Source organism: Homo sapiens, chromosome 11, assembly GCF_000001405.40.
Source record: "Homo sapiens chromosome 11, GRCh38.p14 Primary Assembly".
NCBI classification, from domain to species: domain Eukaryota; kingdom Metazoa; phylum Chordata; class Mammalia; order Primates; family Hominidae; genus Homo; species Homo sapiens.
Genome location: NC_000011.10, coordinates 20,743,520 through 20,771,100, shown reverse-complemented (window position 1 = coordinate 20,771,100; position 27,581 = coordinate 20,743,520). Strand labels below are relative to the sequence as shown.

At 41.3% G+C, this 27,581-nt stretch overlaps 1 protein-coding gene across 4 annotated transcripts in view, besides 1 other annotated feature; it reads right to left on the bottom strand.

Annotated features, from left to right (window-relative positions):
- The window catches only part of NELL1 (neural EGFL like 1), a 906,136-nt gene that overhangs the window by 804,586 nt on the left and 73,969 nt on the right, over positions 1-27,581 (bottom strand). The window lies entirely within an intron of this gene.
- Positions 4,799-5,009: a silencer, noted in NCBI's record as "fragment chr11:20787638-20787848 (GRCh37/hg19 assembly coordinates)". NCBI's record gives its function as "represses an EF-1alpha promoter that drives an FKBP-Casp9 reporter gene in an ReSE screen in HepG2 liver carcinoma cells {active_cell/tissue: HepG2}" and the evidence as "EXISTENCE:reporter gene assay evidence [ECO:0000049][PMID:32094911]".

The following is a 27,581-nucleotide window of genomic DNA, read 5'->3' as shown; positions in this document are numbered from 1 at the left end:
GCACTTGGGGAGATGGAGGGGGCTTAGTAAGCTTCAAATATGTAATTTCTTCTCTCCAGTTGAGCCCAAGGAGAGAGCCGGGGGGAAGCTAGAGGGGTCTTTCCAGAAACAACTGTGCAGGTTGTTTCTGGAAAGACCCCTCTGTCCAGTGCAGATCTGGCTACAATGTGTGCCAAATAAATAATACAGGAGCCTCTCACCTTGCTATCAGAAGGAGGGGAAAAATTATTTTCCACAGCAGCCAGGAGTCATGAAGCAATGTCAGTCCCTGATGAACCAGCAGGAACTAAGTGATGAATAGCTACCCTCATGCTCACCACCACCCCACCCTCCCAGCTGGTATTTCTGACAGGAATAATAATTCAGAGCTCCTCAATATAATGCTTTCTTTTCAGCTCCTTTATTTCCACTGTCCTAAAAAGCACATCATCAGCTCTTAGATCACATGCATTAATCTAATTACATGCCTTGTTAGCTAATTAGTTCCAGAGTCACTGCTGAGGAGGTCTCCCTCACTATTTATCTATCTGTGTTGGCCACAGGGTGTTTGTGCATTCAGGTTCCTGGGGAAACTATGCAATTATCAGCCTTCAACCTTGTGCTCAGGAAGGACAGTGAGGCTTTCCGGACAGGAAACAGGTCACCTGAAACTCCAGGCTTTGAACAGAAGCTCCAAGAAATGTGTGCATCTGTCCAGAAAAGGGGCTATGGATGTGGTGGATTTTTTTCCTTTGGCAGACTTGCTGTTTTTCTTTAAAAATGGACCTCCTCTTTAGAGATGTTATTCTGACTGTATTAAACATTAATGTCCCCCCTTAAAATGAATCACTGGAAATGCCACTTGCTCCTTGAGCTCACGGCCTGTTGCTATCTGGCTGCAGGATCTTTCTCAACCAATTTCCCACCTCAAACCCTTCCAAATGAGAGCCATAACTGAGGGCTAAAATGATAATCCTCATTTACTGAAGCTTTTTTAAAAGAAATGAAAATGTCAATTTGGGGGAAAATTGGTCTTTGATCATTGTTGCAAATAATTTGGTTCTTGCGTGTCCTAGGGTAAGAACATTGAATCTGTTTCGATAAATTATTCCTTCAGTGTATTAAATAAAGACTTTGTGATAATTCATTTCAAAGGATGCTGGTAGGCTCCCACGCAGTCTTTTCTACTTGGGTATCATCTAACTTAGACAACAGATATTCTTTTCAGCTCCCTGAACCACCCATACCAAGAGTAGTTGTAAGTTCATCCTTGTGCAACCCCAATTAGAGTACTTGTCAGATCTCAGAGCGCAAGACATGGGAAGGGTCTGAAGCACAGCCAGGCACAAGTGGGGGGCTCCGTGGGGACAACATCTCAACCCTTCTCCCTCCCAGAGTTCCAGCCATCTCCGTGCCTATCCAAGCCCTGCGCATCTCTCAAGGCCCAACCCAATTCCTCTAACTCCATGAAGTTCTAGCACCCCAGCTGAGGGTGATTTTCCTCCTCGAATCCAAAATTCAATCACTCACCCATTCAAAGATGTATTTGTGGAGTATGTTCTCTGTGCCAGGCTCTGTACTGTGGTGATTAAGATGGACTCAGTCTGGAGAGAAATATCTGGCCAGTATTTTTAGCTGCACTGACCAATACCACCCACTCTTACAAATCTTATTCTCTACATTGTGCCAAAGTTAATGGCCAGACGGTGGCCTGACCACTAAGTGAACCCTTGGTAACTTCCCAAACAGTCGTGCTCTGCCTCCTTTTGAAACATTCTGCCCTTTTGACACTGCATTCTTCCTGTTGTCCTCCTACCTCCGGGGCTGTCTAGAGGCTCCTTTATTGTGCACTCCTCTGCCTTCTGTCTTACTTGTCAGAGTGCCTCAAAGAACATTCATCCATCAGCAAGCCCTGAGCTCCATTTCCACTGTGACCCCCAATCTTCTTGACTAGAATATTGCATCAGCCCCTCACTGTCAGTTTGCCTCCACTTGTCTCTCCTCGCCTCCCCTCCTGTCCCCTCTCCTCATTTCCCCTTTCCTCTTAGTCTTTGTCGTTTTCTCTCTCTATCCCATGTAGCAATCAGAAAATCAGGAAGATCCTTTTCAAACTTAAATCACATTACCTCAATCCCTTACTTAAAGTCCTCAAAGAGTTGCTTTATTAGTTTCTTATGGCTGTTGTGACAAATTACTGCAACCCTAGAGGCTTAAGGCAACACAATTTTATTATATTACAGTTCTGGAGGTCAGATGTCTGAAACAGGTTTCACAGGACAAAAACCAAGATGGGGGCACGGCCATACTCCCTCTGGAAGCTCTAGGGGAGACTGTTTCCTTGCCTTTTTCAGCTTCCCTTGGGTCGTGTCTTCTTCCTCCATCTCCAACACAAGCAGCATAGAATCTTATGATCTCTCTCTGCTTCCATCTTCACATCACTTTTCTATCCGATCCTCATGTCTTTCTCTTATGAGAACCCTTGTGATTACACAGGCCCCACCTGGAATCCAGGATAATCTTCTCACCTCAAGACCCTTAACTTAATCACATCTGCAAAGTCCCTTTTACCATTTGAAGTAATATAGTCACAGGTTATGGAGATTAGAATGTGGCCATCACTGGGAAGGAGGGCAGCATTATCCAGCTCTCCACACTGCCCATTATGATTTGAATAAAACCCTAACTCCTTGCCATGGCCTGAAAGGCCCTGGCTATGCTCTCTGGCCTCCTTTGGTAGCTTCACCCACATGGGCCATCCTTGTGCCCTTTAAACTTGTTTGATCCAAGGGGCCTTTTGGCTGGCTGTTTCAAGAACAAGGGCTTCGGAGCACAACAGCCTGGATTCAACTCTCAGCTTACTGGACCTATACATAACCTTGGCCAAGTGATTTAACCTCTATTTTCCTTTCTGTGGCTCATAATACCTATCTCCTTTGCACAATTGTTATAAGGATTAAATGAGCTCATGAATATAAAGAATTTAGAATAGTACCTAGCATATGAAGTGTTCGTCATTAATAATGTGAGTGATTATTAATAATAATATTATCTTTGCATGGCTGGCTCCTTCATTTAGGCTTCAGCTCAAACGTCACCTCTGCGGGGAAGCCTTCCCCAATGTAAAGTCAACTCTCCCCCTAAGTCTCTCTCTCTCTCTTTCTCTCTCCAGTATAGCTCTTATATTTCCTTCATAGTATATATTACAATCTAAAGTTACTCATTTATTAGTATACTTGTTTACTGTGATTGGCCATTGGCCATCTTTGCTAGAATATAGGCTTCATGTAGACAGGGACTGTCTTTTCTCTGCTGCATCCTTAACACTCAGAACAGTGCCTGTCACATGATGTGCAATAAATATTTGTTGAGTGCATGAATGAATGAATGAATGAATGAATGAATATGATATATTGCTGGTTCCCTCTTCACTGTACCTAGGCCAATAGCCCCTCAAGGACAGGGTGTCTGTCATACTCTTACATAATCAAGACCCAGTGAGAGGTGAAGCCAGCTAGACTTCCTGGGTCGAGTGGGGACTTGGAGAACTTTTCTGTCTAGCTAAAGGATTGTAAATGCACCAATCAGCACTCTGTAAAAATGCACCAATCAGCGCTCTATGTCTAGCTAAAGTATTGTAAATGCACCAATCAGCACTCTGTAAAAACGTCCCAATCAGTGCTCCGTGTCTAGCTAAAGGATTGTAAACACAACCATCAGCACTCTGTAAAATGAACCAATGAGCAATCTGTAAAATGAACTAATCAGCAGGACGTGGGTGGGGACAAATAAGGAAATAAAAGCTGGCCACCCCAGCCAGCAGCAGCAACCCACTCAGCTCCCCTTCCATGCTGTGGAAGCTTTGTTCTTTCGCTCTTCACAATAAATCTTGCTGCTGCTCACTCTTTGGGTCCATGTCACCTTTAAGAGCTGTTACACTCACCGCGAAGGTCCGCAGCTTCATTCTTGAAGTCAGCAAGACCAAGAACCCACCTGAAGGAACCAACAACAGACACACCAGGACAGTGGCTGGCACACAGCAGCATAACAGACTATCGTGATTGATCAATATGTCAACAGCAGCCGTGCCCAGTGGCTCACACCTGTAATCCCAGCAGTCTGGGAGGCCAAGGCAGGCAGATCACTTGAGGCCAGGAGTTCAAGACCAGCCTGGCCAACACAGTGAAACCCCATCTTTACTAAAAATACAAAAAATTAACTGGGCGTGGTGGTGCACGCCTGTAATCCCAGCTACTTGGGAGGCTGAGGCAGGAGAATCACTTGAACCCAAGAGGCAGAGGCAGCAGTAAGCCAAGATTGTGCCACTGCACTTCAGCCTGGGCAACAGAATGAGGCTCTGTCTGAAACAAAAAAAAAAAAAAAATATGTCAATAGGAAATAGGATTTAAAGCCTCCTTTAAAGGTAAGTGCTCAAAATAAGAAATGATTTTTCTCCATCCAGTCAAAGATTGAGAGAGAAGGGATGCCAAAGTACATGTTGACAAAAGAGAGATTCAAAGCAGGACCCCAGGAAGTTGCTCTCTCAACCTTGCCCTGTCCCCATTACACACTAGAGGGTTTAGATAGTTCTTTAATCATGGTGAGATCTTCTGTTTAAATGAAATACCAAAAAAGGATGCTGTGGCAAAATTATACATAAAATATGTGGCTAAAAGCCAGTTGGTGGGGAAAACCTTGCCACGCCCTGAATGCCAACCACCTTGTGTCTTTCCTTTCCAATAAAACAAGCAGCTCATGCCCAGTCAGATGAGGACCTTCCTCTTTGAGGCACTATCTGGTTGCACTCCCTGCTTTCACCCTGCCTGCAGTTTAGAGTAGAAATGACATGACTTCACATGAAAATAGTTGCTCCTCTCACTGCTATAAAGTGCTGCACTATTACTGCCATCCAGCCCAGTGTTTGGGCTTTGACAGGGGGCCCAGGGAAGGGTCATTCTCGACATCAATCCTGAAGTATGGAGATGTCTACCTACACCTTCCTCACTCCCTTGAATAGCTTAGGTGCAGCTTACCTGTGCTTACAGCTCCTGGTACATACTTGTGTCACAACTGATTACGTATGCCACTGCCTTGTTCAAAACCCTTCAATGACCCCAATTGCCTCTAAGACAAAATCCAATCCTCCTAAAATATGGAGTTATTATTTAATGGATATAGCATTTCAGTTTTGCAAAATAAAAAAGTTCTGGAGAGCTGTTATACACCATGAATATACTTAACACTGCTGGAATGCACACTTGGAAATGGTAACAGTGGTCAATTTTATGTTGTGTGTTTTTTTATCTGCAATTAAAAATGCAAATTTAATAAAAATTGAATCCCCTTAATATGACCAACAAAACTCTACACAATGTACTCCTATAGACCTCACCAGGCCCAACTCCCACCTCACCTCTTCCCTCCTTCTTGGCCTCCTTCTTGGCCCTTCTTTAGATTCCACCAACTAATACACAAGCTCCTTCCTGCCTTAGGGTCTCCGGTCAGGCCATTATTTTGCCTGAAACACACTTTCGCCCACTCCATACCTGGTTACCTGCCATTCATCACTCAGGCTTCAGCTGAAACGTCATTTCCCTAGACCCCAGCCCCCAGCTAAAGCAGGCCTCCTGGTCTATGTTAATTACCATACCACAGCTTTTCCTTCTTTGGGCTTATCCTAGTGTGAGGCTGCATGGAAGCTCACCACTGTGCTGTGGTGTCTGGTGCCACACATAGCACAAAGAGCAGGTACTGAAGGACATTGGAGAAATGGATGGATGGATGACTGGTAATCCATTGGTAATCCTTGGTAATCCCTTCTGAACCTGTATGAACCTAGAAAATTAAGCCTTTCTGAAGCTATCTGTACGTTGTCCCTAAACCTACCATGCAAGTACAATGCCTACAGTATACAGTAGCATTAGAATTTCTCCTGTATCTGCCTCATTTTATTTTTTTTTTTTAACAAAGACAGGGTCTTGCTCTGTCACCCAGGCTAGAGTGCAATAGCATGTTCATAGCTCACTGCAGCCTTGAACTCCTGGGATTAAGCAATCCTCCTACCTCAGCCTCCGAAGTAGCTGGGACTATGGTCATCTGTCATCCTGCCTGGCTAATTTTTTAAATTTTGTAGAGACATCTTGCTATGTTGCTTAGTCTGGTGTTGAACCCCTGACCTCAAGTGATCCTCCTGCCTTGGCTTCCCAAAGTGCTGGGATTACAGGCATGAGTCATCCTTCCCAGCCCTCATTCCAATTTAAACAGCAGCCCCCAGTTCTCATTCCTTGATTGGAGATTTTGGTCAACAAGATCAACAAATACCTGACTCTCACGTGTAGTTTCCTTCCCCCTCAGCCTTTTGTGAACACAGACTCAACATCTCACCTTTTCCTCCTCCCAACTCCCTCCAGCTGAGCAGTTCTCAGCACTCACTGTGCATCAGAATCACCTGGGTAACATTTTTTAAATGTGATTTTCAGTCTGCACCCTGAGAGACTCAAAAAAAAAAAAAAAGGTCTGGGGTGTAGGCCAGGTGTCAATATTTATTTATTTGTTTCAAATAAACATGATGGGCAGTCACAGCTGAGAACTGGTGTCCCAGCCTCAGGTCTTGGTATCTTGGTGACTATCCTGGCTCCAGGTCAAAAGTAGCATACTGACCAGCCTCAGGCCAGATGCAGCCTCAGCATGTTGGTGTAGCTCCCAGTGTTACTCACCCAACCCACCATATTTCACCAAGTCCACAGTGCCATAGATTATAAAATACACCATCATTTGACATACCCTAAGAAATAAACAAAAAGCTGTTGATTATAAGAGACACCATAATTGTAACACATATGTAATTTATTACATAATTATACCAATTGCCTATAAGGCAAAATCCAATCCTACCCTAAAATATAGTTATTATTTAATGGATATAGCATTTCAGTTTGCAAAATAAAAAAGTTCTGGATAGCTGTTATGTGAATAAGTGTGTGTGCCTTGGAATCAGTGAAATACAGCATAAAAATTGAAACATTTCATATAAAAATTCAAATCTCCATTAAAAAATTAGATGACCTGGCAACGCAGAGCCCATATTCCCACAGGCAACAGTGCAGTGAATGCAGAGTTGAAGAAATGCAGCTCATGGCACAATGTTGCCAGTTGGCTGCATTACCTTGCCAGTGCACATCACTCAGCTGTTACCTGGCTGGCCCCCTATGCACCTGGGATTGAAGACCCTCCCCAGCACATCTCTAACTTATGCTAATACTACACACACTCACCCAGGCCCCACACAAACCCCCTCCATTCCTGCCCTTCCAGGTTCTTCCCAGCCCCTCTAGGCTCGCCAGCCTCACCCTGGTGCTTCTCAGCTGGCCTGCCAGGGCCTGAGTTACAGGTGTCACTGTAGTATGAGTCCCTCAGCCCTCGCTGTGGCTCGGCAGAGCACTTTTGGCATAAAAACAGTCCCTTCTCTTTCCTTCCGTGTAATGTACAAATACAGCCATTTTCCTTATGTGTCATGATATGAAAAAGGTCACAGAACGTGGTCCAGTGTTGAAGTAGAATTGGGGATCAGAAGATCTGGGATGCACCATCAGTCCTGCCACTTAGTATCTGGGTGATATTTAATACTCCAACACTAATATCTGGGTGGTCATTTAATCCCTCTGAATCTTGGTGTCTCCTTCATAAAGTGGTGACTAATGAGAATATTTCTATCCCAGAATCCACACAACAAATATTAACACATGTGATCATGCACATGACCAGTTTTGAAAATGTCGCTCTCACTTTCCTCCATGCCTGAGTGCCAGGGTAGGACAACCCCATGCAGGCTGGGTACATGCGGTGGCTACAGTGGGAGGGCTTGCTCTTACCACGCTTCTCAAATAGCTTACAACCCAGCAGTGAGAATGGGTGGATAGACCCCAGCAGGACAAAGATAAACCCTGAGTAAATAAATACCTCACGCCGAATCCCCAGGGAGGAGAGAGGCCATGAGCATATGGATGGTGTGGGTGATAGGTGTCTCCGGGTAAGTTAGTCAATAAATGAGGAGTCACTAAGCCCTGCATCCACAGAGAAAGCCATGGAACAACAGTTGGGCTTTTTTGTCTTTCCAGTAAGGTTGGCGTATCTTTTTTTAAAGTGTTTCGGCTTACTTTTAAAAATTCATGATGTAAACCAACAGGACGAGTGTCTTTCTTCAACCCCGTGCTGCTGTCCCACAACATCTGTAGGTGCAGGTATACTTTTAAGTTTTTCCTGCCACTATTCCCTCAAGTCCCCCCATACCAGGCATACCAAATGATCCAGACCCCATGTTCTCTAAAAAAGACAAAAATGTAAAAAACAGGAAAGCAATATTTTGATCAACCACAGAATAATAATGTGAGCGTGAGAAATGCAAAGATGCCTGTCAACGTTTCTATTTATGTGTAACGATGGCTGTAGCCCTCTCCTTAATTACGCTCTTATTCACCATACGCATGGAGTCTGTCACTGTGGGTATGGGTGTGACTGAGACTCCAACCAGCATAAATACATGCCACACACCCAGTCGTTCCATGCAACTTTTTCAAATGAATTATCGGGGAGATTTAAAAATTCTTCAAAAATGTCAAAATAATAACTATTTTATCTTTTTTATGCCCTAATTATGATTTGAAGCTTTGCTTTTCTTATTTCATCCAGGCACACCACAACTCATGAATAAAATATGACAAGTTTGATAGCAGCCATTGGAGAGGGTTCATCCGTAACCGCAGACGTGCTCAGTGTACAAAGAGCTTTTGTATTCCAACAGCCTTTGTTTCTGGGACAGGCTTTTATCTAAAAGAAGGACCACGTGTGTTCTCTCATCTCTCCTGTCTCCCTCGCAATACCCCACAATCCCTGCCTTCAGCACAACACCTGAACCGTGTTTACTTTGTCTTTTAATGAGCACATTTCTAAACAATTAGGGAACAAATAAAAAACCAAAGGGCACTCTGCTCCATATGAACCTGGCTTGAAACAACACATCAAACAATTGACTCTAAGAGACATGGTCAGACCACAGACTAATCCACAAAGTGGGCAACTTTACATCGGAAAAATCACTCATGTGATGGTGCCCACCTGGAAAGATATTTAAGGCACTCACAAGGTTCTCTCCCGAGAAGTTTCCTTTTCTTAGCAAAGGCTACCAGGTCCCTTCAAAGTTCAGACTCTCGTATGTCTTTCAAAGAAATAAATGTGAAAAGGAAAAGGAAATAATGTGTGGCTCTGCAAAACCATCAACATTTATCAAATGGCCCCAGGGATATCAGACTTCAAGTTTCGAGGTTTTATTTTTTTAAAGCAAACCTATAAGCATCTTGTTTTATCACACATGCAAAACCAGCTAGCTTCCAAGATCCCTTCCAAATACATTTTCTCCCAGAGTTTGTTTCAAAATATGTAAAAGCAAGAAGACATTTTAAAGTCATTCCTTCGCTAAAACTTGAAGAACTGAGTCAAGATTTAGATCTCCTGGACTGAGCATTTGCCAAACTTCCCAAGTTGTGGGTTTGTTTGTGGAGCTTTACAAACAAATCTAAGATTAAGCTGAGACTACAAAATATTTCTGACATTCCTCAAGAAAATGAACCCTGGTATTCTCAAGAAAAGCAGAATGCAAAAAGCTTGAAGCGTATGTTGTATTTTCATAAGTTTACTGTGCAGATGCACACTGGTAACTATTTCTGAAGACTGCAACTCCACATTTTTTTTCTCTTCACCCAGGTAGTGCAGGTGCTCCAAGACGCCAGGTAGCCTTGAACTGTGACTGCTTGTATCCACTAGAACAAGTCTTAAGCCCAAGTGACTGGCTACTGTATTGAGGCTATAGTTCCTGAGGGGGTGAGTTTAGTCACATTGTCTAACCTAATGTCATGTTATGTTAAACTGCACCTTACCATTGACACTTCATGACAACAGGCAACCCAACAGTGGTTATGTGCAGATGCAAAATAAAATTCTTCCTCCTCCACCACCTCACAACCTCAAACACACTCTCATGCCAGACATGCCTGCAGTTTGGACAGCAAGATGAGTCTGAATCTTTGGCAGATAAATAAGGCAGCAGCTTGAACACTCATGAAAAAGAGCTAATTTTTATACCCGCGGGACAGCACACAATAGCGGCTTTTGGCACTCTGAGAAGCTGCGCATTTAGAGATGTTGGGCCGAGTTTTCCTTCCACCAGACCCGATTTTCCAAAGGGGCCAAGTGAGACCTGGGAATCTGGCAGTGGCATTTAAATCTTTAACAGACACAGTCAAATGGGATTAGGCACCATACTTCAGATTTAGTGGTAAAAATAAAGTAGAAAGATAAAAAGATTTCCAAACTAGCTGAATGTATGCCTATACCAATCTTGCTTGAAATCCTAAGAAATCTTATTTTTATTTCAAAGAATCCCAGATGGAAATCTCAAGGTCTTGCCTGATAGATCTAGGAGCTGACATCCATCACCGTAAGCCCTAATTAATCATTCCCTCTCTGTCCTCCACTGGCTGGACACACTCCATGTGCCTTCTTCCATCCATGCCCTTGAGGACAGAGAAACTACAACAGTCATTAGATTCACTTTTCCCAGAAAAAGTCTAGGGGCTCATGGTCTGGAACATAAAACTATTAGTAATCTGCATTTGTGCCAGTACCAGTGTGTACCCAAATGTCTCTTGGGCTCTCCTTTCACAACTCTAAAGCTGGCTGATCAGTGGCATCCTGGACACAGACTGAGTAGCAGAGAATTGGACCAGCCACACTAGTTAAGTCAACCAAAAGGATGAGTTAAACACACTTGAGAACAACATTACGGCTACATACACTCCAGCTGAAATCTTTCACTGATGGTGCAAAAATGTTGGCATTTCTCCAATCTAGTGTCAATCTCCTCTTTTCATTTGCCTAAGAGGGCATGGTGGCCAGCTAAGTTGAGGCCCAGTGCTATAGCTGTAAGCAACCTACCTCCCAACCCACACCATATAGCCGCTATATGTTCTGAGACCTTTGTTTGGCATCTGGGGAGAGGAAAGGGAGTGTTTCTCTTTTTTCATTATGATAGTAGCCTGTAGGGAGAGAATGAAGTATCTCTCTCTCCTCCCCAGGCCTTTGGGCAGGGTTGGAGCCACTATGTTTAGAGGTATAAGAACACACAGGAGACAGGATAGTTCCTTAAGAGATTCTGTGGATTCTGGGCAAAGCAGGGATAGAGTCCAGGAAACAAAGTGTGGTGTAATTGGAGTAAGAGTCCTTCTGGACCCAGGAACACTCTGCTCCCCCAGAGGGCTGGATTCTGGTCAAAGTGGGGAGGACACCTCTGTCTCCAACAGTATCTCTAAAGACCTGCATCTCTGGAGGCCAATCAGGCGCAGCACCCTGGACAGAGGTGGTGATTTAGAGAGGATTCTATCAGCCCTGGCAATGACAAACCTCCTCCAGCAGCTTCTTGAACTGGCCAGAGTTGAGAAGAGAGAACAACCTGCCCAGTGGTGGATGAAGCTGTCGGACTGAGTGGTGAGATGCCCTAGAAGGAACCCCAGAAAGACTTAGATTCCTGAGATGACGCACAAAACACGAGAGGTTATGCTTGGACAGAATGATGCAAGAATAGATGTTTTATGGTTATTAGCAATACTGTAGTTCCATTGGTATTCACGGGTTTGTGAATCCTGGTGACACTGAGTCTCACAACAAACCATTAGCAGCATTAAGTAGAAGTGTACAGCATTTCAATGTGATCTTCTTCTTCCACGTGGACCATGGATCCTTTCAATGTCTGAGACTCCAGGTCAGCCCTATAGGAGAGTGTTGAGCCAAGGCTCTATGGAAAAGTTAATTACAAGAAGCAAATACCAAAATACTCCCAAATTTTAAATGTGTAGTTCATAAAGGGAGGCAGGTTAATGTAAGAGTTGAGTTAAAAGCAATGGAGATACATTTAGATAAAAGCAAGAGGAAAGTAGAGGAAGACAGAGTTTGTCAGGCAGGTCCACATTTGGGACTTAGCTACACTGCTTAACAGCTGCATAATTTTTCTGAGCCTCAAGTTCCTCATCTGTAAGATGGGATAAAATTCTCTATCTCACAGATTTTCGTGGTATATGGTAGGCTCAACGAACATCAGTTCCTTCTCATCTTTCCCTTCATTCTCCCAACCTTAGGTACTTCCACCAATTTTTTAAGTACTTATTACCTAGAAAATAGAAGAACAAAATGTTACAGATTCTTATTAATAGAAGAGACTCTAAAACAGTCATCCTCAACTGAGTTTTGCCCCCAGGGGACATCTGGCAATGTCTTGAGACATTTATCATTCCCACCACTTAGGGGCACTACTGTAATCTAGTGAGTAGCAGTCAAGAATACTGCTAAACATCTACAATGCACAGGATAGCTCCCCACAACAAAGAATTATCTAGCCTCAAATGTCAAGTACCAACACTAAGAAATCTGGCCTGAGAGGACCTCTAACCATCTTCCCACTACTTTGGGAATTCTCTCTACAATAACTCTGAGGGATTGTTTTCCTGGCTTTGGTTTGAACATTTTCAGGGACAGGCACTCACTACCCCTGATACAACCTCTCTCTATTGTCAGTTGGTTCTAACTCAAAATGCCTCTCCTTAGCTTAGCATACACTAAGGGTCAGTAGGATAGGAAGAACTTAGAATCAGGAGCGTGATGTAGTGGAAGATGAGAAAAGTGGTTTGGAGCCAGATTCATGGAAGTTCTCAAATGTCATGCTAAGGAGTTTGGATTTATTAGGCCACAGGACACATTCTGAATCAGGCGACACCATGATGGGTCTCGTGGGAGGACAATGCCTGCCACAGCTTAGAGTATGACCTGGAGAAGAGGGAGATTAGTGACAGTATAAGGGGATATCAGGGTGAAGGGATGTTTTGAATTTTAGGAGGCAGGGACAGAATTCCATCACCCCAAAATTCGTATGTTGAAGCCCTCAATATGATGGTATTTGGAGACAAGGCCTTTGGAAGGTAATTAGGTTAGACAAAGCCGTCGTGATGGAATAAGTGCCCTTACAAGAAGAGACCAGGGAGCTTGGCCCCTCTCTCTCTGCCATGTGAAGATAGAGCAAGGAGGAGGCTATCTGCAAACCAGGGGGAAGGTTCTCACCAGAACCTGACCATGCTGAAACCCTAATCTTGGACTTCTCAGCCTCTAAAACTGTTAAATTTCTGTTGTTTAAGCCATCAAGTTCTATGATTTGTTATGGCAGCCTAAGCTGACTAAGACAGCATGTTAAGAGGAAATAGAAGGAACATACCAAAATTGCAAAAAAAGGAGAACATGGCTCTCAAATCAGGTTTTGGAGGCAGGAGATTCCATGGGCTTAGGTAAAATCGGTTTAGAAAGGAAGACAATCACATGGCTCTCAGAGGCTGAGCCTAAAGGATGAGAAGAGAGGTGATGACGGTGGAATTCCAGAGGAAAAAAGAGTTAAGGAAACTCATTTCACATAACCTAAATTTTTACTGAGATAAAGGCAAGGTTATGGGCAGTAAAAGAGTGAGCCAAATAAGAAAAATGGAAAGGTTTGAAACAGATGCTCTGGTATGTATATAGGGTCAGAAAGCATTTGGGATATATAAGCACCAAAGGAAGATAATAAGAGTCCAGCTAAAGCTGGCTAATAGAAATTTGAAAGGCTGTAAGCAGCTGAGTCTCACCATTCCTACTGAGCATGGATGGTGGAATTTACCCAAGGTGGGGGATTATAGTAAGGCAGCCAGGAGAAGTCTCTCTATACCCAGTGATGGGGTAGGAAGATAAAACTGAGTGAATTCTGATTGGGGTGATAAAAAATTTTGGAAATAGTGGTGATTATTGCACAACATTGTGAATGTAATTAATGTCACTGAATGGTACATATATATATGGTATCACAATTTTAAAATTATATTTAAAAAAAAAAAACTAAGTGTAAAGGAAAATGAAGCCAGAGAAAAGAGAAAGGGGAAGAAAGAAAGGAGTTACAGAGAAAAAAAGTTGGGAGAGAAAGAAGAAAGAGAAGGAAGGATGGAGGTAAAGCTGGGATATCCTTCCCCAACATCTATCTCTATCACCACCACCAGAGTCTGTTCTCTTCCAGTCTGAACAGTCTTAGTTCCTCCAATATACTAGTGATATGGTGTTCATACATCTCACCCTGGTCCATGCAATTCCTCTGGACTTTACCAGTTTGTGAATTTTCCTCGTAAAATGCATTGCCCAGAACTGAATACGAGCTCCACTATGGAGTCTAGTGCAATGGTTCTTAACTAGAGGCATTTCCCCCCTCTCTCAGGGATATGTGGCAGTATCTGGAAATATTTTGGTTGCCACATCTGGGGGAACCTACCGGCAGTGAGTGGGTGGAGGCCCGGGATGCTGTTAATGCACAAAGCATAAGATAGACCCCATCAAAAAAGAATTTTCTGGCCTGGTGTGGTGGCTCACGCCTGTAATCCCAGCACTTTCGGAGGCCAAGGTGGGCGGATCACGAGGTCAGGAGATCCAGACCATCCTGGCTAGCATGGTGAAACCCTGTCTCTACTAAAAAAAAAAAAAAAAAAAAAAAAAATTACAAAAAATTAGCCCGGCGCCATCTCAGGTGCCTATAAGTCCCAGCTACTCAGGAGGCTGAGGCAGGAGAATGGCGTGAACCCAGGAGGCGGAGCTTTCAGTGAGCCTAGATAGCACCACTGCACTCCAGCCTGGGCGAAAGAGTGAGACTCCATCTCAAAAAAATAAATAAATAAAAAAGGAATTATCTGACCTAAAATATCAGTAACTCTGCTCTAGTGCAACTATCATCTCCCATGATCTGGACATTATGTCCCTATTCAGGTGGCCTAAGATAGATGACATAGACTCCTCTGGATCATATTGAACTTGACTCGATTAAACAATGCAGGTCTGGCCAGGCGCGGTGGCTCACGCCTGTAATCCCAGCACTTTGGGGGGCCGAGGCAGGCGGATCACGAGGTCAGGAGATCGAGACCACGGTGAAACCCCGTCTCCACTAAAAATACAAAAAATTAGCCGGGTGTGGTGGCGGGCACCTGTAGTCCCAGCTACTCGGGAGGCTGAGGCAGGAAAATGGCATGAACCCGGCAGGCAGAGCTTGCAGTGAGCCGAGATCACGCCACTGCACTCCAGCCTGGGAGACAGAGCGAGACTCCGTCTCATAAAAAAAAAAAAAAAAAAAAAAAAAAAAAAAAAAAAAAAAAAACCGCAGGTCTGGCTGGGCGTGGTGGCTCATGCCTATAATCCCAGCACTTTGGGATGCCAAGGTGGGTGGATCACCTGAGGTCAGGAGTTCAATACCAGCCTGGCCAACATGGTGAAACCCCATCTCTACTAAAAATAGAAAAATTAGCCAGGCCTGGTGGCTCATGCCTGTAATCTCAGTTACTCGGGAGGCTGAGGCAGGAGAATCGCTTGAACCCAGGAGACAGAGGTTGCAGTGAGCTGAGATCGTGCCACTGTACTCCAGCTTGGGTAACAGCCAGATTCTGTCTCAAAAAAAAAAAAACAAAAACAAAAACAAAAAAAAACAAAAACCCACACAGGTCTTTTTTACATGAAATGCTCTCAAGTTTGGCTTGTTGTTGTACAGCTGAGGTGTTAGACCCCTTGGAAGAACTTTATATTAACCCCTATGAAATTCCATCCTTTCAGTTTTGGTTTCTGGTTACAGTCCATGGAGATAATGAAATGAGAGGCTTGGTTCTAACATTCAGTGAAGGAGCAATTTCTCTCAGCTCTTCATTACTTCCAGCAGCAGCTCCCAAATAGGCGACTACAACTGGATCCAGGATGCTGGTGATTGGCAGCATTCTCTCAGCTAGTTTTCTGCCTGCTTCAGTCAAAATGAGCTGGGTTTTTACCTGAGCACTCAGGTGAGAGCAGCCCTCTAAGTAACAGCGCCCCCTATCATACTTCCCGCACATCTTACTGCCGGGTACCACAGCTTCTTCCCTCCCCTGCAGGGAAAAGGAGGGAGCAGAAACGGCTGATGATGAGTCAGGCCAGATATGTACATGTATGTGGCTTGGGGTTGGGGAAGTTGTTTCTCAACCACTCTCTGTATAATGCGAAATATTTGAATTGAATAAAACAGCATTAAGAGTGTGGTTCTTCTATTTTTGTCAGCAGAGCTATATGGACCTGAACTTTTCACTAAGTCTAAAAGACAATCAAATCCACAGGCTAACATTAAGGCTCCAGTCTATGATCTCCAAATGACAAATCTTCAGAGAGAAAATTACAGAAATGAGATTCACTGTAATTTTGAAAATTGAATTCTTATGTTACGATTGTTTGTGTTATATCCATTACATTATTTTATTTTAATGTCAGTATAAGGCAGCCAAATTTCCTTTCTTGGAACTGTCTTTTCTTATGACATCATATACTTTTTTAAATATTAAAATGTCATATCTTAGTAAAATGTTAGTGAAATGAATAGATCACAGTTAATATATGTACATCCTTCCTTGGCAAAAATAAAAAGTTGGAGACCCTGCATAATTTCCTAAATAATTTTTTCTACAATTTTCCAAGACTGTGAAACCCAAAATTCTAGGAGCAGGTGACCTAAACATTTGACAAATACAACTGTGACGTGTTCGTGCAAGTTGCTGATGAGAAATGTCAGCCCAGAAATTATATATACAAACCACATAGCATGGCCCTAGGGTTCATCCTTCAGGTCAACATCAATTCATGAATCAACATTCTTAGGATATGTTTGTTCAGTAAACTATAAATCTGCCTAACTATATTATCAACACGCTCACATTTAACTGTCTTATTTCTGAGACACTGTTAAAGGCCCTACTGAAATCAAAGTCAACTTGTCTGTGAGATAGCAATAGATAACTTAGTCCAGAACCTGGAGGTACTTGAATTTATTTTTCCTGCTTGTCATGTACTCCCTCTTTTTTGGTAGCTACACAGTGATTTTCCTCTGGAGATCCACCACTCACCCACTTTCAGCCCATATGATGCAGGTGTTCACTCCACCCTGCAACTCTATGGGTAGGCATGGGGTTCAGGTCTGGTCCATCAACACCGTCCATCCTCTTGACCACATATTTGGCTTAAGGATGTGTATATGCCCCATGACAAACCAATGAGACACAGTTCCAGAAGTTTTGTTCTGCTTATTGATGAAAACAAAACAAAACAAAACAAAGCAAACAACTTGAGTAGCATCTTCCAACTGGAATTCCTGAGAAAATATGATATAAGCCTGGGATCCTAGGGACCACTTTGCTCCTATGGGGACAGCCTGCCTAAATATAGCCAGCCCAAGACAGAGTGGAGCAAAGAGATGGAGAGAAAGTGAGATTAAGCCATGATGACATCATTGGAGCACCTTATTCCAGGAGGATGCAGGTTACATCCAACACTAACTTTAATAACAAGAGCTAATTAATTTCTCCCTTTTACTTAAGCCATTTTGAATTGGCTATTGATCTTTTAGACTTGGCCCTGGTTTTTAAAGAGGTGGTGGCCTAATGAAGGAGACCGGCACCTAAAAATACAAATTACAAGAAAATATGTAGTTAGAGCTAGACTCAAATGTGATTAATGTAGGGGCACAAAGACCAAACTGAACTGATTCCACCTTCCAGGGTTCAAAAAGCCATGAGGAAAAAAAATATGACATATGAGTGTATTCTTGAACTAGCTCCAGCAGAGTGAATCATTTCTAATGTTACCATCTGTTTAATTTCTTTAATTCAGAATTTTACCAAGAAGAGATATTAAGATCACTAGGCTCTGCTATCCTATGCTTTTTGGAATACAAAATTTCTCCATTAAAAATAATAAGGACAGATAGCATAGAAGCCATTAGCACATCCCTCACTCTCCTTGATTTTTCTAAGATTATAGCATAGAAGTTGGATGACCAAAACTAAATTTGTTCTGTTTCTTTGGATGAGATTCATCTGGGCTCAGGATTAGAAATTGTTTAAAGCACATTGAGGCCCTCTTCCTGTTATAACCAAATTAGGGCTTAATTTTTTCTTTCTCCTGTTTGCTTTATACTGTACTGTATTAAGACCATTCTTCCGGAAGGAAAAATTGAATCAAATAAGGAAAAGTGTGTGTGTGTGTCATCTGTTAATGTTATAGCTTCTATTTCAAGCACAGCACCCATTTTTTCCTTTTTCTTCTACTTCACCCAGACATAGTTAATGATAAGATCTTAAAATTATGGTAATTTCTGATACGTGGGCCATATACAAAATTTTCTGCTTCAAGGACAATAATTTGAGTGAAAAGTAATGTTGTGGTCTCACCAGTTATAACTTTATTTTACAGAGAAAATTCTCAAAGAAAAGTCAGTTTTTCTTTGCCATCTTTACAAACCATGTTTATAAATTTTTGCCCTCTTACAGCTCCTACTGTTGAAATGACTACTTCCAAAGCTGACTTGAACTAGAGTTGGTGCCAGGTTTTCTCAACAGATGCAAAAAAGACACTTGACAAAATGCACCATTCTTAAGGATTTTATGTATTTATTTATTTATTTAGAGATGGAGTTTCACTCTTGTTGCTGAGGCTGGAGTGCAATGGTGCGATCCTGGCTCACCGCAACCTCCACCTCCTGGGTTCAAGTGATTCTCCTGCCTCAGCCTCCCAAGTAGCTGGGATTACAGGCATGCACCACCACGCCCAGCTAATTTTGTATTTTTAGTAGAGATGGGGTTTCTCCATGTTGGTCAGGCTGGTCTCGAACTCCCAACCTCAGGTGATCCGCCTGCCTCGGCCTCCCAAACTGCTGGGATTATAGGTGTGAGCCACCACACCTGGCCAAGGATTTTATTTTTTAAATCTCTCAGCAAAGTAGGAATACATGACAACTCATTCTGATACAGGGCATCTACAAAAAAATCTACAGGTAACATCAGACTTGATGAAATATTGAATGCTTTCAACTAAAATTGGAATAAAAATATTCAGCATCATTTCTATTTACCACTGTACTGTAAGTACTGATCAGTGCAATAAGGCAAGAAAAGAAATAAAAGATAAAAGATGAGAAAAGTAAGACTGCTATTGTTTACAGATGACAACACTGTAAATGAAGAAAACCTTATAGAATCTGCCACATTAAAAAAGAAAAAAACTACCAAAATCAGTGGATTCAGCAGAATTTCAAGATGAATGGCCAATATATAAAAGTTAATTGCAATTCTATGAAATAGTAATAAACAATAAAAATGAAAGTTAAGTGTAATACCATTTAAATTAGCATTAAAAATCTAATATTAAAAAATAAATCCAACAAAAAGCTGGCCATGGTGATTAACGTCTGTAATCCCAATGACTCAGAAGGCTGAGGCAGGAGGATTGCTTGAGGCCAGGAGCTCAAAACCAGCCTGAGCAACACAGCAAGACTTCATCTCTAAAAAGAGTTTTTTTTTTTTTTTTTTAACTTAGCCAGGCATGGTGGCATGTGTCTGTAGTCCCAGCTACTAAGAAGGCTGGAGTGGGAGCATCACTTGAGCCCAGGAGTTCAAGGCTCCAGTAAGCCATGGTCATGCCATCACACTCCGGCCTGGGCAACAGAGTGAGACCCCAACTCCAAAAGAAAAAGAATAAATCCAACAGAAAATGTGCAACATCTCTACACTAAAAACTACAAAACAATGCTGAGAGATATTAAAGAAACCTAAATTGATGGAATGATAGACAATGTTGATGGATTGAGTCATGGAAAACTCAATATTGTATTAGTATTAAAAATATTTTTAAGATGTGCATTATCCAAAATTGATGCATAGATTTAATGCAATCCAAATCAAAATACCAGCAAAATTTTTTAAAGAAATTGACAACTTATTTTAAAATGTAAATTAAAATGAAAAGAACCTAGAAGAGAAAAGCAGTCATAAAAAAAAAAAAGTTGGAATTCTTCTACTGCCTGATTTCAGTATTTACCATAAAACTGCAGTAATAGCAAAGTGTGGTATTAGCATAAGGATAAGCTATAGATCAGCGGAATAGAAATAGATTCATATATACACACACACACACAAACACACACACACACACATAGACAAATAATTTTTGACAAAGTCAATGAAATAGGAAAAGTCTTTTCAACACATAGTGCCAGAACATCTGGGGAGCTGTGTTTTAAAAGCTGAACCCCAACCATTATTTTATATCACACACAAAAATTAATTCCAGGCTGGGCATGGTGTCTCACGCCTGTAATCCCAACACTTTGGGAGGCTAAATTAGGTGGATTCCTTGAGATCAGGAGTTAAAGACCAGCCTGAGCAACATTGTGAAACCCCATCTCTACAAAAAATACAAAAAATTAGCCAGGTGTGGTGGTGTGCACCTGTATTCCTAGCTACTGGGGAGGTTGAGACGGGAGGATCACCTGAGCCCAAGAATTCAAGGGTACAGTGAGCCATGATCTTGCCATTGCAGCCAGCCTGAGTGACGTGACAGAATGAGAACCCTGTCTCAAAATGATAAAATAATAATAATAATAATAATAATAATTCCGAGGTACATTATATACTAAACATAAAAGCCATAAATTTCTACAAGATAAAATTTCTTCATGGCTTTAAAGTAGGAAATGATGTCTTAGAAAAGACACAAAAAGCCACAAAAGAAAAAATATATATACTGGGCTTCATCAAAATTTAACATTTCTGTTCATGAGAAATACCAGCAAGAATATGAATAGATAAGCCAGAGACTGTAAGAAAAGTACCTGCAATGCATCTATCTGAAAAAGAACTTGCAGCCAGAATAAAGAACTCCTACAAGTCCATTTTTTAAATAATAATAATGAAGAAAAGACTTTAATGGACCCTGCACTGAGACATAGGAATAAAAACAAAACACACGTGAAAAGATGCTAAACATCATTAGTCATCGGGGAAATACAAATTTAAACCACAAAGAGATAATACTAAATATACGTTTGAATGGCTAAAATCAAAGGGACTGACAATACTGAATGTTGGAGAATATAGCAACTGCAACTCCTATACATTAATGATAGGATTGTAAAATAAATAACCACTTTGGAGAACTCGTTGGCGGTTTCTTATAAAGTTACATCTACTCTCTGTCCCAGCAATTCCACTCCTAAATATTTACCCAAAATAAATAATATTTTCATACAATGGAAAACTAGCTGACAATAAAAATAAGCCACTGATATATGCAACATGGCTACATCTAAAAATTTTATGTTGAGAAAAATGAAAGCAAATACAAAAAGTATAGTGAATAGTAGTATTCTATTCATCTAAAGTTCAAGGACAGGCAAAGCTAAATAGTGGGGGGTAGATGAAGTGTCAGGAAGGGATAATAAAAATATTTTTATTTAGAGGGTGATGGTTTTATGGGTGTATAAAATTATAAAAACTCATCAATAACAGTTAATATCTACTCATTTTATTGTATGCTAATTACACCTTAATTTTATGTTATTTTATTTAGTTATTTTTGAGAAAGGGTCTTTCTCTGTCACCCAAGCTGAAGCGTGGTGGCATGAACACAGCTTACTGCAGCCTCAACCTCCTAGGCTCAAGCATTCCTCCTACCTCAGCCTCCCAAGTAGCTTGGTCCACAAGCACATACCACTATGCCTGGATAATTTTTTTTAATGTTTTGTAGAGATGAGGTCTCATTGTGTTACCCAGGCTTGTCTTGAACTCCTGGGCTCAAGCATCCACCGACCTTGACCTCCCAAAGTGCTGGGATTACAGACGTGAGACACAGTACACAACCTATACCTTAATTTTTAAAAGAGAAAAAATATGAAAACATTGAACTTTTTTGCTCTTTTACAAAACGTGCTAGTAATTTCTCGCCCGCCATAGTCCCAGCTGTTCACTATACTGTGTGACATCCCCTGCTTTCTTCCATCCCTGCCCTAAAAGCTAACTGTACAAAGAATTATCACTCAACCAAGATCAAACAGCCCTAGAATAGCTGCATTACTTATAATCATTTAACGTCTGTTTCTATCACTGGATTATAAATCCCATGAGAGTAGAGGTTTTGTCTGCTTTGTTCTCCATTCTAACCCTATTGCTTAAAACAATTCCTAGGGTATAACAGCCCCTCAGTAAATATATGTCAAAATATGGATGGATGGATGGATGGATGGATGGATGGATGGATGGATGGATGGGTGGCTGGGTGGATGGATGGATGGATGGATGGATGGATGATAGAATATGCTCCAATACGCAATTGCAAAGACATGGAACCAACCTAAGTGCCCATCAACTGATGAGTGGATAAAGAAAATTATATATATACACGCATATACTATGGAATACTATTTAGCCATAAAAAGAACAAAATAATGTCTTTTACAGCAACTTGAATGGAGCCGGAGGCCAATGTTCTAAGTGAAGTAACTCAGGAATGGAAAATCAAAATACCATGAGTTCTTACTTATAAGTGAGAGATAAGCTATGGGTATGCAAAGGCATACAAAATTTATAATAAATTTTGGAGACTGAGAAGGCAGAAGGGTGGGAAGGGGAATAAGGAATTAAAAAAACTACATACTGGGTACAATGTACACTACTCAGATGATGGGTACACTAAAATCTCTGACTTTACCACTGTACAATTAATCCACGTAACCAAAAACTACTTTGTATCCCAAAAGCTACTGAAATAAATAAATTTTATAGATACTTAAGCTAATTGAGTGTTGGCAGTTACTTGCAGACAAAATATCTAAAATGTACCCAAGAGGCATGAGGGAATATGAGGTATTCAAGGAATCAAAAGGACCTCAATGTGGCTGGAGTACAGGAAGCAGGGAGGTGAGTGGTAAGACACTGCTGGACATGTAGACAGAAACCATATCACAAAGACCACCTAATGATTCTTAGGTGGTCTATCCTAGGTGCAACACTAAGTCATTAAGGGAATACTGGGTTTCCTAATTCCACTGCAGATGGAGCAAGAGGACAAAAATTTTGGCTATAGAATGAAGGTTTTGCATCTGAACTGACATGTTGGAGGGCTAACTCTTAGTAGAAGCTCACCCCTCTTTAGCTATGGCAAGGGTAAAGAAAGTAATTGGAGCTTTGCAATCCAACCCATCAGAAAGCCACTAAGAATACAAATTTCCCCACCTCCCCAGCCAGCTTTTCCTTCATTCAGTGATGCCAACAGACAGAACAAATGAAGACACATAGCTTGAGGACATGCAGTTCCCAACTATAGCTCAAGCAAGGGAAACCATACACAGCTGCCATGCTCAAGAAGGCCTAAAACTTACAAACTCAGGTTTTTCCTCTGATACTCAGATCACTTGTATCCCCATATAATCCCATGACCTCAAGTGCTGCCCTCTGCAATAAATGCCTTCTGCTATGATGTGAACATTTGTCACCTCCAAAACGCATGTTGAAATTTAATTTCCAAGATTGACATATTGAGAGGTGGGGCCTTTAGGAAGTGACTAGGTGATAAGGGTTCTGCTTTCATGAATAGATTAATCCATTTATGGATGTATAGATGCAGTCTTCAACCTTGGACTTAGCCTCCATAACTGAAGAAATAAATTACTTTTCTTTATAATTTACTCAGTTTCAGAAATTCTGTTATAATCAACAGAAAATGGACTAAGACATCTGAATTCCATCTCAGTTCCTTCTCTCTTTTGAATGAAAGGGTGCCAAACTGAATAGCTCTTCCTTTTCATCATGCCTAGATGACCTAGTTATCTTGCTGACCAAGACATGTTCCTCTTGCTGAAGAAATCATGTTTAGATGCATATTTCAAAAGATTCAGCACATTCTGTTTCCACTAATAAAATGTATCGTACAAAATATTCCCAAACATGCAAAACCATACATTGATATATCTTTATACACAGATACATTGCCCACACAGACTACTTAACATTTTCTCACTATTTAAATAATTCAATTGCCTTCCTGGTCAGCACAACCCATCACTCTGAGGCAATACTCAAAAATTATTATATGTGCCAGGTGTTCTATAAAAAGGAAGTCAGGCATGTAATTGTGAACAAGACATATCTGTGAGCCAAAGGGGAGCAGACCAATAATCAGCTAACTGCAGTCACCACCAGGGACTTCTCCTTTCGAGGGCAAAGAAAATGAAAGGGTTTTATCAGCCTGGAATAGTGTGCACAAGTTGTTAACTTCAGCCATGGGAATGGCACAAAAGTCTTTTCAAGGTTGTTTCCAGCCTTCAGGATATAATGGTGTAGAACCAGGAACAAACTACCTGGGAAGCTGTGTATCGTACACATCCTGGATTTCCACTTACCAAAACCACTACAGAGAAATAAACAATGTAAAAACTGGTGAGTGTACTGAGAAAACAGTCTAAAAATGATCTAGAACATATCTTGTAAATAAGATTTCACCTTCAATGTCCTTTATCTGAAAATCACACTTGGCAAAAACAATAGGATGAGAAAAGGGCAATGTTCAATTCCACGTGTGTGTGTGTGTGTGTGTGTGTGTGTGTGTGTGTGTGTGAAATCTGTCACAATTCCACTTTTAAATAATCATAACCACTATCTATTAAGTGGCTCTGTATGCCACATACTTCGATGCTTTTCTACATATGTGAAGGGAGGACAATATTAATATCTCCATCTTACAGATTAGAAGTCTGAGGTTGGAGTGGTTAAGTTACTTGCCTAAGATTACTGACCTAGTAAGTGGGGAGAAGGATTTGAACCCAAATCTGTCTGACTCCAAATCACATCTTTCCACTCATCCATGTCACCTTAGAGTTCTTGAAAAACTTGGAGATTTTTGTGTAATGATTCCAAAGAACTTCATTCTATGAACTATAGTAAGAAGTAAGGTCAAAGGTCCAGCAGACCCTGTGCTTCTCCCTCTGCCAACAGACACTGTCAAAAGATAGGGAGTATCTGCAACCACAGTCCAGGTGACTACAGAAGTCTTCCCTCACCCAAAAGACATGGATTCTAGTGGGGCTCTGTCACTGTTTGGCTCCTCAGTGTCTCAGTTTCCCCCCTTTTAAATAGGATAATTTCTCTCCTTGCTCACCTATCTTCTTATTAGTTAAATAATTAGAGTTAACAGACTTTAGACAGGTAAGAAATTCTTTTTCCTTGCAAAGATATTTTCACTTTACATGGAGGTCCAGCACAGAGAAGCAGAAAGAACACTAAGCTCAGAGTCAGAGGACAAGAATAAAATATTTCATAGTTCAGCCATTACTTCCTATGTGTTCTTGGACAAGTCATTTCCCTGCTTTGAGCCTCAATGTCCTCATCTAGAAGATTATGGCATTGCACCAGATCAATCACCCTTCAAATGTGGCCCACACCCAGTGGTAGACCATAAGGGTTGTCTTGATGGGTCTAAACTGGATGGAAAAACAAAGCTCCTTTTATTAATTGCATGAGTAAATGGCATCCCATTTCAAGGTGCTATTTTGTATACAGCCAAAGATTACTTACTAGTAACCTACTAAGTAGGTTACTGTAATTTGTTAACAGTCAACTAAAATTAATGTGCTTTTAGTTTATTCAGGACTCAACTACTTAGCAACATTCAAAGTTCCTACTGTGTATGAACATGTGCAGATGGTGGTAAAGCCCGCAATTTTGAGGAAGAACACACTAATGTCAGTGCTATCTTCAGTTGATCATGGCTTTCGATTGCTGTTATGATTGCTTATAAATTGATGTTAATAAGCTCCATAATTATCCATTTAGATTGTAATGGGTCATTTGGTTAATTCTACCATGTGTGGTGATACATACTTGGATCAATGTGTGAGACTTATAATTTTCAATAGTTGGGCTTTAAGGCATATAAAAATTAGATGGCTGGACAAAAAACAAATATTTACTGATCACCTATTATGTGACAAGTTCTGTTCCAGGCACTGGAACACTTCTGTGAACAAGATAACATCCTGTCGTTCAAAATTGTACATTCTAGCAGAAGACTACAGACAATAAACACATGAACAAAACAAGTAAATGAAGTGATACCTGGTTTCAAAAAAAGGGTGATGGAAAAGATAAAATAGGGTAATGTGGTAGAGAGAAGGCTTCTTCAGCCAAGGCAAAGGTCCTCAAAGATGTCTCTAAGGAGGTAACACATAAGTCATAAACTAAATAATGAGTGGCAGACTTGTGAAGATCTGGGCAACTGTATTCCAGGCAGAGGGAACAGTAAGGAAAAGAGCTTCTGAGGCAGGAACAAGCTTGGAGTATCATGGTCTGGACTGTCATTCAGCAAATATATTCCCTCCCTACTCCCACTGTGGACAGAACATATTACCATGGCCCCTGATGTTGAGTTTGACCGTATGAATTTACTTTGGCCAATGGAGCATAAATAGATGTGATATATGCAAAGGCTTAAAACATGCTGTGCAATAGGCTTGCCCTCCTGGGCTACCGCCTTGCAAAGAAAAGAGTCTGCCCTGAGTATGTGCTGCCCCATCATTCTGGGCTCCAGAAGGACCACCTATGGAGCAGATTTGAGCTTAAACTACTATAAAGAGCCAAGCCCAACAACTTAAAGCTGAACTCCCAGTCAAGCTCAGCCTAGATTAGCTGATTCCGTCAACTTGCAGTCCTATAAAAGAGAGAATAAATGCTTACCAATGTATGCTCCTGAGTTTTAGAGTAGTGTGTTATACAGCAATAGCTGACTGATATAGCATGTTCAGACAGTGAGAAGACTGGTCTGATTATGACAAGCAAGGATGATAAATAGTATAATAATATGGATGAGATAGAAAGGAGTCAGATAAGGTAAAACTTTACAACTTTAAAAGTCTTTAGTTTGCACTTCATTTTAATCATAGTGGTAAGTCACTGGACAGTTTTCAGCATAAGAGTGTTGCCTGTAGGATGGACTAGAGTGGAGCGTAAGTGGAGGACAGGATACCAGTTAGGAGGCTATTGTGATTTTCTAAGCAAGAAATGATAGTAGCTTGGAATAAGATTGTGGCTATGGACACAGTGAGATGTGATCTAATTGAAGATATATTTTTGGAGGTAGAGGAGATGGTACTAATCAATAGACTAGATGAGGAACATAAACATAACAGTGTTCAAGAATGGCCCCTAAATCTTGGGCCTGAGTAACTGAGTAGATGATGGAGCTGTTTAGTGAGATAGAAAAGGCTTAGGATTGGGGCAAGAAGATGTCCAGAGTGGTGAGGAGAGTGGATAGTTTTGGCATACCATGTTTGAGATGCTAGCTTGCCAGTTAGATATTTAACTCTGCCTTTCAGGGAAGTGGTGTGAGTTAGAAATATAAATCTAAGTGTCATCAGTGTACAGATGATATTTGGAGCCATGTGACCAGAGAGCACCTGAAGAGGTGGAGAAGATGAGACAGAGCTCAGAGCAATATTTGAAGATACAGAAGCTGAGGACAAGCCAGCAAAGGTTACAGGGAAATAAGGGTCTGTGGGGTAAGAGGAAAGCAGGCAAGGACTGAAGCAGGATACCTAGAGAAGACTCAAGGCTCAAATTTGATTCATTCCTAGCTTTAGGTGATGGCTAAAGAAGATATACAACTAATTA